This window comes from Homo sapiens, chromosome 8 (genome assembly GCF_000001405.40).
Source record: "Homo sapiens chromosome 8, GRCh38.p14 Primary Assembly".
Classification (NCBI taxonomy): domain Eukaryota; kingdom Metazoa; phylum Chordata; class Mammalia; order Primates; family Hominidae; genus Homo; species Homo sapiens.
The window spans coordinates 118,119,203-118,130,901 of NC_000008.11; positions in this window are offsets into that span (position 1 = coordinate 118,119,203).

Genomic DNA, 11,699 nt, shown 5'->3' on the forward strand with positions numbered 1-11,699 from the left:
GACATCTATTTAAGGAACTTTTATTGAGAACCTATTATGTGCCCATGTTCTAGGAACTCAGGGTACATAGTATAAAAGACAAACAAGGTGTCTACTCTCATTCTAATAGCTGAGATAGATAATAAAATAATAAGTAGGCCAGGTCGGGTGGCTGACACCTGTAATTCGAGCACTTTGGGAGACTCAGGCAGGCAGATCACTTGAGGTCAGGAGTTTGAGACCAGCCTGGCCAACACAGCGAAACCCCATCTCTACTAAAAATACAAAAATTAACCGGGCGTGGTGGTACCGGGTTGCATTGGAAGCTGTAGTGATTTGAAATCGTGCCACTGTACTCCAGCCTGGGTGACAGAAAAAGAGTCTGTCTCAAAAATAAAATAATAAGTAAATAAATTAGGAAGATCATTTCAGATAGTTCTATGGAGAAATTAAAAGAAGAATGGCATAGATTGGGATGAGGAAGAGTAAGAAGGCTCACTTTAAACAGGATGGTCAATGAAGGTCTCTGTGATAAGCTAACATTTCAGCAGCTGCCATGAGACTGATTTGGAAAGAGCCTTGGGAAGAGTGTACCAGGCCCAGGATCTGGCCAGTGCAAAGATCTTAAGGCAGAAAGGAATTTGAAGAATTAGAACAGTGTTTTTCAAACTTCAGCATGTAACAAATCACTTGATGGTCTGGTTAAAACACAGATCGCCAAATCCCACCCCTAGAATTTCTGATTCAGTAGACCTGGGGTGTGGCCCAAGAATTTGCATTTCTAACAACTTCCCAGGCAAGGCTGATGCTGCAGATCCAGGGACCACTGTTTGATAACCACTGAGTTAAAGCATCAGCAGATAAAGTAATTGTGGCTGGAGTGTAATGAGTGCAGGAACAAGGGGCAAGAGATGAGATCAGAGAAGCTGCAGGAACCTTGGCCTGCCCTGGCACTACAGGCCAGATGATGTGTTGGATTTTATTTTAGGAGTGGGAAGGCCTTGGAGGATTTCAAGTAGGGGAATGATATGATCTGATTTCAATTTTCAACAGCTCACCCCTAGCTGTTGGTAGGGCAGCGAGTCGAGTTTATTTATCTAGTACATATTTTCAAAAGTCTTTATTTCTAATAAATTCCATCTACATTCCTGTATAATATTACAATAAGCACTATTGCAAACCTGGATATCAAGTCAGAAGGAGAAGGGAAACTTCAAATCTTATTTTTATGATACAGGCACTATGACAACCAGAGTCAAGATAATTAGCCCTAGTCACTGGACAATTAGCCAGTGATTGCTCATTAGCAAGATAGCGTGTTTAGTATTTATCAAAACTATGCATTTAAGCTGAGACTTTTGTCTCTGATGTAAATTCTGATGTTTGATATACTGACATGCTAGTCTAATACATATTTGGCTGTGCTTTTCATGTGTGTTTAACAACTTGGAATGAGCTACTTTTTCCAGTGATAGGACAGCCTCTTGTGGGTGTTTTCTGAGGGACAAATGGTGACAAGAAATTGCCCTTCTCTAAGTCAGGATGCCACTGTAGGATTCTCATAAAAGTTTTACTGACCCCTAGTGGAAGATACAGAAGCTCTACCCTGCTTGCTTATCTTGGTATCTTCTGTTTTCTTTAAAGATTTTCCTAAAGAATGTGTGTGCCACATAGAGACTCACACCCTGCCTTCTAGAGACTCACACTCCAGGAGGAGAAACAGACATGGAAAGAAATAATCACCATAAAACCGGCTCCGTGCTGTAATTTACAAGGGAAGGAAGAGGCTACATTTGTGCGGGTCCTTATTAACATTTGTAGATCCATTTATAGATGGAGTCACTGGAAGAAAATGAGAAATGAAAATGTCAACTATTGAAGGTGATGAAATCAGGAAGTCACCCACAATTCATGTACATTTTTCCTGTTGGATTTTAGCACTTTTTATTATGCAATTGTCTGCCAACGATGCCTTGACTTCTTTTTTCTTCTTTTTAAACTTCTGATACCCCACAGAATGAAGCTTCTCTCACCTGATGTCAGCTGAATATTATTTATCATCTGGCACTTCTATGCAACTATGGTACAGTAATTATTGGTGCTCACAATGATAATCATGAGACCCTGGAAGGTCTTAAAGTACCTGCCAACTCACTCAAGTGAGGTTAAATCATGTCCAGTCCTACTTCAGTGAGTTAAGTGCGTTTATGATAGTCTAAATCATTTATAGTTGGTGATCTGTGTATAGTGTATGGGCTAACTTGTTATGAGCACACGAATAAGATGGACCATAGAGCTAGTTATCCAAATGATCCCTGGATGCTCCAAGGTTGTTTCTTTGGTTGAATTTCCTCTATTTCTCTGAATTCTGGTTTCTTGAGATGTTTAGAGCAAGTTTCCAGCTCATTTTCACAATGCTTGTAGCCTTTCCAAATAGGTAAAAGTGTATACATATATCTACAAAAGTCTGCATGGCTGGGAACTCTGGCCTCCGTAAGCCATTATTCTGAAAACTTGCAATCTATACAAACTAAACTATTCCTCCAATTATACACTCTGCATGACATTAGGCCAGCCCCAGAATACCAACCTCCCAGCTATTCTACCTCAACTTCTGTCTCTTCAGACACTTGCTTTCTTCATTTCCCAGCGAGTGATCACATTGTAGAAGTGCAGGCAACTCAGGAACTGTAAAGAAAAAGGTATAAAGAAGACTAAATATATTTTGACATATTTCTATGTAAATTTCAGCAGAGGCCTTCTCTCTTTGAAAATCTGAATATTTAAACCTCACTAAAGCACACTAGAAATATACATTCTGGCTTTAAGTAAGTCCTGAGAAGGGAATTGTCATCAGAAGCATAATTCATCGTTCTCTAATTGTTCTCTCCTACTGAGGATTTTAGCCTATGATAGCCTACCCTGGCTGCTGGCCCAATAATTCCTTATGACACGGGAAAAATGCAGACTTTAGTCCTGTTTAAGACTGGATAAGCCTGGTTCCTTTCTTGTTCATTTTGGCCTGTGGAGACTTGTTGCTAATGGGAACCATCCATCAAAGACTGCTCTTGGCTCAACACAGACAGTCCCCACTGCTTTGTAAAGCTTCCCCTCCCCCTACCCCCTCTCCACCTCTAACCCCCACCAACTTCTCTACCTAAGCTCTGATCTGACCTGTCACTGCCCCTTCCCCCACTTTGACTAGTCTGATCTTGGAATTTGTTGCAACAGGAACTGCCAATTGCTGTAAATTACATGCCACCTTGACAAGGAGAATGCTAATCCTTGAAGGGTTTAGGAAGAGACTACCAAACTTGTTTTGTAGGTGAGAACAAGCTCCCTAGTCAATTGGAGGTGACGTGACTTTCTACTGCACTATGGACTCCCTTTCTTCCAAACAACATGGGACCCCTGGGCAGGGGAAGGGGCCGCAATGAATAAGCTACCACTTGCCTGACCACAGCCCACTTCCTATGTTCATGGATAAGATCTCCTGCCTGCAGCCTTGAAAAACCTTTCAGGTATTTCCCAATCTGGTCTGGTGTTATAGTATCAGATAGTTGTTCGACTGTGTACACTTTAATTTGTGCAGAATATTTACTTAACGAACTGCATTTCTTTGGAGGCAGGAGAGAATAGTGGTTAAACACAACAGTATTGGAGTCTGACTGCCTGCATTCAGTTGTGGCTCTACGCCACACTGGCTCTGACTTCAGGCAAGTTACTTAAGAGCTCTAAGCCTCAGTTTCTTCATTTGCTCCTACCCGAAAAAGAATGATGATGACTACTTCAGATGCATATGAGATAATGCATATAAAACACGTAACACCTTGCCCGCATCCTGGAGGAGGTACTCAGTAAATGTGGGGGTTTTTTTTCAATATTTTTTTTTAGATGGAGTCTCACTTTGTCACCCAGACTGGAGTGCAGTGGCACGATCTCAGTTCACTACAACTTTTGCCTCCTGGGTTCAAGCAATTCTCTTGCCTCAGCCTCCCGAGTAGCTGAAATGACAGGCGCCTGCCACCAAGCCCAGCTAATTTTTGTATTTTTAGTAGAGACAGGGTTTCACCATGTGGCCAGGCTGGTCTCAAACTCCTGACCTCAAGTAATCCACCCGCCTAGGCCTCTCAAAGTGCTGGGATTACAGGAGTGAGCCACCGTGCCTGGCCAGTAAATGTTAATTATTATGATGTCCTCTCACTCTCCCATCCCTCCCCAAATCTCTGGCAGACCCTTAAAGTGACTGGGTTTCACATACTGGTTTTTCAGCAGTTACATCTTCCAGAATTTGAATTAACGTCTGTCATAATTAAGACGGACATTTCAGCAAATCATGCCGAAATGTTGCAGTGGCTGTGAAAGGACATGTTCATTCATCCATTTACCCATTCAGTAACAAATATTTATTGAATACCTACTGTGTCCCCTGGTGTGCATCATGGTGCGTGAAAGACCAAGTCTTAGCCCTTAGAGACCGTGAAGTCTACCCAGGGAGACAATGGTGAACAGAGAAATGAACAAATAAGTAAGTGCTAAATGCTAGTACTACTCAGGAAATGATACGGGCTCTGAAATGGAGATGCTATTTAAACACAGTAAATAGGAAGACTTCTCTGAGGAGGCATTTAGGCAGGGACAGGAAGGAGCCAACATTGAAAGGATTAGGGGGAAGAATCTTTCAGAGAAAGGGAAAAGCAGATGCAAACACCCTAAGTTGAGCTGAGCTGAGCTGAGCTGAGCTGAGCTGACTGGTCTAGAAGCAGAAAACAGAACCAAATGGCTAGAGCCTTGTGACTGAGATACCCAGGCCCTGCATTTGTGCAGCTCCTGTCTGAAGAGGCTGTTCGTGACAGTAGGTTTGTCTGTTGTCCACATGAAAAGGAAGCTCTAGAGATTCAGAAAGACTAAGGTAAGGGGCTTGGGGGATGCAAGCCCAAATCTTCTATTCTTTTCCAACCCCTCACTATCCAATTTACTAAGCTTTGTATTAATGCTTTCATCCAGGATAAAACTGACCTCTTCTGGGCTCCACTTCACTCTGTGGGGAACTCAATTGTAGCATCTTTAAACCATTACTGTGTCTATTCTTTTATATGGCCACCTCCCCTATAGGACAACAGTGCCAGGAGAAGTGGATCATGTCTACTGAATCCTGGTAACTCCAGCATCTAGCACAATGCCTACCCTTAGTTGGGGGCCTTATAAATGTTTGTTGAATGAATGAATCATCACTGAATTTATTGTGCTTGCTGTTGCCAGGCAATAAGCTAAATGCTTTAAATATATTAACCCAATTAATTCTCTTTACAACTCAGAAGGTATGTACTATTATTAGCAACATTTTACAAAAGAAACTAAAGCCCAGAGAGGTATGTAATTCACTTGAGCTCTTACAGCTGAGAAGTACTCGAGCTGGGATTTGAACTTAGGCAGTCTGGCTCAAAAGCCCTTGCTCTTAACTTTGTCACAGCAGTGCTTCTCAAACTACTGTCTATGAGAATCACCTGCAGAACATGTTAAAATACACATTCCAGGGACTCATTTTGCAGAATTTTTTTTTTTTTTTTTTTTGAGATGGAGTTTCGCTCTTGTCACCCAGGCTGGAGTACAATGGCGCGATCTCAGCTCACTGCAACCTCCACCTCCCAAGTTCAAGCGATTCTCCTGCCTCAGCCTCCCGAGTAGCTGGAACTACAGGCATGTGCCACCACACCTGGTTAATTTTTTGTATTTTTAGTAGAGACGGGGTTTCACCATGTTGGCCAGTGTGGTCTCGAACTCCTGACTTCAGGTGCTCTGCCTGCCTCGGCCTCTCAAAGTGCTGGGATTACAGGTGTGAGCCACCATGCCAGGCCACTTTGCAGAATTTCTGATTCAGTAGTTGTATTAGTTACCTAGTTACCATCTCACAGTTTCTGTGGGTCAGGAATCTGGGCACTGCTTAACTGGGCACTGTAGCGCAGAGTCTTTCACAAGGCTCCAGTCTACATGTTAGGGGCTGCAGTCACCTCATGGCTTGACTGGAGGAGGAACCAATTCCAAGCTCATGCCCACGGCTGTTGGTGAACTTCAGGTCCTCACTGGCTGTTGACAGGAGATGTCAGTTCTTTGCCACATGGGCCTCCCCAAAAGGCTGTTCTCAATGTAGCAGATGGCTTCCCTCACAGCAAGTGAGGGAGAGTGTGGCCAAGACTGTAGCCAAATCCTTTTGTAACCTCTTCTCAAAAATGACATCTCGGCCAGGCACAGTGGTTCACACCTGTAATCCCAACATTTTAGTAGGCCTAGCGGGGGGCAGGTCACTTGAGGTCAGCAGTTCGAGACCAGCCTGGCCAATATTGCAAAACTCTTCTCTACTGAAAATACAAAAATTAACTGGGTGTGGTGGCATGTGCCTGTAATCCCAGCTACTTGGGAGACTGAGGCAGGAGAATCGCTTGAACCCTGGAGGTGGAGGTTGCAGTGAGCTGAGATCGCACCACTGCACCCCAGCCTGGGCGACAGAGTGAGACTCTGTCTCAAAAAAAAAAAAAAAAAAAAAAAAAAAAAAAAAAAGACATTTCATCACACTTGCCTAGTCTTAGAGAATTCCCACAACCCTAGATATGGGGTGGACCCAAGAATGTGTATTTTTTAAATTTATTAAATAAATTCAAAAATTTATAAAACTATAGTCCAGGGTGGGGGGCTGGCTTCTCCACATCTGCGGGTTTTATCTGGAGTACTTTATGCAGTGACTAAGAATGTGTATTTCTGACAAGCCCTCAAGTCATGATGATCCTGACAGTGGAGGACTGCTTTGAGCAGCACCAGCATACTATACTGAAGATGTCAGTGAGTGAATGAACAAATGAATCAAGGATCCAACAAACACATATCCTTGGCTGGGCGCAGTGGCTCACACATGCAATCCCAACACTTTGGAAGGCTGAGGCCAGAGGATTGCTTGAGCCCAGGAGTTTGAGACCAGCCTGGGCAACGCAGTGAGACTTTGTCTCTAGAAAATAATTTAAAAATTAGCTGGGTGTGGTGGCACACACCTGTGGTCCCAGCTACTCTGGAGACAGAGGCGAGAGGATCACTTGAGCCCAGAAGGTCCAGGCTGCAGTGAGCTGTGATCTCACCACTGCACTCCAGCCCAGGCAACAGAGGGAGACCTTGTCTCTAAATAAATAAACAAAATAAAAATGAAAACAAAAAGCCTATTCTTGACTGGATCATATATCACATTTTCATAGGGTCTTTCTTCTCCTTGGCTGTTTTCACTGCCACTTGCATTCCCAAAGGCACCTGTCAAGATTTGTCAAGAAGGTGACCATGACCCTAGGAAACCAGGTGTTCACTATGTCATGAAAATGGTGGGCTCACCTGAAATGGATACATCCTATCTTCCACTTCTCAGAAGTCTTACCTCCAGGAGCTATAAAACCTTTCCCTGACAGCCAAAACTTGCCTGGTGAGTTATAGACTCACAGAGCAAGGAAGAATGATTTCAAGAGATTCCCTTTCCTGCTTCCTGCTTTTAAGGAGGTATAATAAGAGAAGCAAATTTTAACTCTACTGGGGTCCTTAAGAGCCTGACCAGAGAGTGGCTTCCAAATTAAAGCAGATTTGTTCTTCCTGCCGAAATCAGACAGGACTCCCCAGTTGGTCTTCCCTTGGAGCAACTTCTCTGACCTTGCTTCCTAAGCACCGGCTGTGTTTGACCCCCTGCTGCCTGGTGAGAAGCGGATGGGCTCTGGAATGCTGGTCCCAGCTCTCACTGAGGACTCAAGAGACAAGCAGCATACACTTCCCCTGCCCTGCCTGAAAGGAAGAGTGTTTGCTGGAGCTGAACAGCTGCCTGGGGTGCAGGGAGGCGAATGTTGCTAAATATATGTTCTTATTGTACATTGGTGTGTCAAGAAAAATTATATCTCCTTGTTCTCCGCTTGGGTATTCTTTAAAAAAATTCTGTACACAAGCACGGGGCACCTCTCAACTCCTGGCCCCTGCATGAAGAATCTGATTGCAGCCTCATTTATTTTTCTCTCCACACCCTTAAAATAAATGCCCTCTTCCTCTTGTCACATTCTGACAGCTTCCGGTGCATTCTACCACTCCCATTACACACAAGGCTTGGGTCTCTGAGTCTCTTTGCCTCCCAGGCTTGCTTTCAACACCAGCCTTTCTTAGGCTGGGACTCAGGGTAGCATGCCTGAGACGGCCAGCGGAGTCTTTTAAATGTGTCCATGAAGCCGGGCACAGTGGCTCATGCCTGTAATCCCAGCACATTGGGAGGCCGAGATGGGCGGATCACCTGAGGTCAGGAGTTCGAGACCAGCCTGGCCAACATGGTGAGATAAACTCTACTAAAATAAATAAATAAATAAAATAAATAAATAAATAAATAAAAATTAGCTGGGCATGGTGGTGTATGCCTGTAATCCCAGCTACTCAGGAGGCAAGGATGATGCAGAATCGCTTAAACCTGGGAGGCAGAAGTTGCAGTGAGCTGAGATTGCGCCATTGCACTCCAGTCTGGGCAATGAGAATGAAACTTCATCTCAATAAAAAAGAAAAAAAAAAAAAGAAAGAAATGTGTGCATGAGTCTCTTTAAAGTGCATGGATAAGGCCAGGCATGGTAGCTCACACCTGTAATCCCAGCACTTTTGGAGGCAGAGGCAGGCAGATCGCTTGAGATTAGGAGTTCCAGACCAGCCTAGCCAACATGGTAAAACCTCATCTCTACCAAAAATACAAAAATTAGCTGGGCATGGTGGCACGTGCCTATAATCCCAGCTACTTAGGAGACTGAGGCATGAGAATTGCTTGAACCCGGGAGGCAGAGGATGCAGTGCGCCAAGATCGTGCCACTGCACTCCAACCTGGGTGACAGAGCAAGACTCTGTCTCAAAAAGAAAAAAAAAGTGCATGGATATGATTATATGTGTATGCATGCAAATGTATGGCCCTAAATCAGATCATTATTATGATATTGATTGGGATGTTTCCATCAGGAACTCAGTTACTAATTTGAATATAGCACTGAGATTCTTCCCTTAATTGAAAAGAAAGTGGCTTGTACCAGTTGGTCTCTTAATCCAAGGTAGAAAATTGATTTTCAGATTTATGAGGACCAGGCTCCTGAGTATTCTCTCAGCCACCAATATGGAATTGACAAGGCTCCACGACAATTACTTTCATTCCCTTCAAGCCCATCCTAGTTTCTTTTTTTTTTTGTTTTTAACTTACATTGGGAACCAGAATTGCCCTACCTACTTGCCACATAATGGTAGGCAATAAAAATGTTTTTTGACTGAACAGCTAAGTGAATAAACCCATATTCTCAAGAAAAGCTAATTAAAATAAAATAGGGTAGATATATTGCCTAAGCCAAGTCCTGCTTTAAGACAAACTGGCCTATTAAAATATGACAAAATGGATCGATTTTGGCAATGGTTATTAATGCTGTAAAGGAATCTGTATTGAATGAAAAGCTTCCTTTCTGTGTGAAGTTCCTTCCTCTCCAGGTGAAGTTGATTATTTTGTCTGGTATGGCTCATCCTGGGACCTTGTTCATCCTCTGTAGTAATGCTGCTCCCATCTGTGCTTCGGTGTGGACACTTATTTATTTACTTATTTTTGAGACAGGGTCTCACTCTGTCCCTCAGGCTTGAGTGCAGTGACACAACTATGGCTCACTGTCGTCTCAACCCTCCAGGCTCAAGCGATCCTCCCACCTCAGCCTCTCAAGTAGCTGGGACTACAGGTGTACCACTCCGCCTGGCTAATTTTTGTGTTTTTTGTAGAGATGGAGTTTTGCCATGTTACCCAGTCTGGCCTTGAACTCCTGGGCTCAAGTGATCCTCCTACCTCAGCCTCCCAGTGTTGAGATTATAGGTGTGAGCCACGTTTTATTCCAATTACTGATTTGCATACTACAAGTTTCTTAAGGAGCATTAACTTTGTGACGACCAGGATGATCTGTTTTTCACCTCAGCTTCCTGGATATTTAGCAAGTGCTCATTAAATGTGTATTGAATGAATGGGTGAAGGACGAGCGAATTCCTCTAGTAATGCAATGTAATATGCTATAATACAATTTAATTTTGGGAGGAAAGTTTGGGAAAGGAGAAGAAAAATTTTAAGTTAAACTAAAGGGTTGAAAACAAATACCACCTAGAAAATTAATCCTTTTGATAAATCATCTTTGAAATATACAGGCCAATAGGAAAATGGAATTTTATTTACAATAGATTTATTTCTGTTCATATTTCAGTGCTGCTTGTAGTCAGGAAAGGGAGGCACACATTTAGAATTACTATATTATTTCTGTAAGCCCATTTGCCTTATTCTCAGTAGGTTCACTACTGGCTGGAACTCATTTTCAAGGCTAAATCCTTCACCCAAGTATTCAATTCATTTGGCTCTTGAGAGAGGTCATTAGCTTTCCCGGGATACATGTCCCTGCAGTAATGAAGTAGCCTCATGGCCAGGAAACCAAAATCTAGTCCTGCATCACAGCCATCTCCCTGGCCCTGTCCTGGCCTCCTGAAGTGGTGGGGCTTGGAGGCAAGCTGCCAAGGCTCAAGGCTGGATGTGTGCACGTGTCTCCTCTGGCTTCATGGCCAATATCATCAATAAAGTGCTTCTCACTTTAAACCTTTTAAAATAGAAGTTTCTCTTGGAGATGAGAAAAGATGAAACTTCCTATAAAACTATATGGTCAAAGAATACCAGCTTTACCCTTCAGAAGCTGGAATGATTTTTTTTGCCTCTTTTAACTCTGAAGTCTATGAGTGACTAAGCAGCATTGCTACCACTCATGGTCAACAGAAAAGATGTCTTCTGCCTCTTCCTCTTCCAAATGCAGGTATGTGTCTAGCCAACCATGATGTGAATAAAACGTCCTTGCTGGAAGGGATCTGCATTTCTTTATATTTCTTGCCCTCCTGCAGGGATGACTTTCAGTGTCCTGCAGGTAAACAGTAAATTATATATTTTCAAAAGTTTCTAATTTAATATCTGAAACGATTATGAACAGCAAACTTTAAAAAACAGATCAAAATAGGATACTAAAGAGAGTTGTAACATTATCTTTCTCCGGCTTTTTTCTGATGCAAGTAACAGCATATCCAAACTAAAAGTGGCTTAAACAAAAGGTCCGATCAGTAGCTTCTCACTTAACAGGTGGTCTAGAGATTGGCATTGGTTGGAGAAGCAGATTGGAAACATCATAAAGAGTCTAGAGTTTTTCAGATTTCCCATTTTGTAACTTTAATGTGTCAGTGATGTCTGCACTAATGCTACCCCATCTCCAAGCATCTTTGTTACCCCAACTAAAAGCAGGAAGAAAGGGAAGTGACAGCAGTTTCTGTTTGTGCTTTCTTACCAAAGATAAAATTGTTCCAGCGTTGTCCAAAAGCAGATCACACACCTAACTACCACCAGCAAAAGAGAATGCAATGACCATGACTTAGACGGTCAATAATCCACCAGAGCAAAGCCTGCTTTCCCCAGCATGTTGCTGCTCAATACCTAAACACAATTAGGATTGTGTTAGCAAGGAAGAAGCATGGGATATCGAATAGGCCACGGATAGTTTCTTCTGTGCAGGTTTGTTACAAAGGTATATTGTGTGGTGCTGAGGTTTGGGGTACAATTGAACCTGGCACCCAGGTACTAAGCATAGTACCCAATAGGTAGTTTTTCAGCCCTTGTCCCGCTCCCTCTC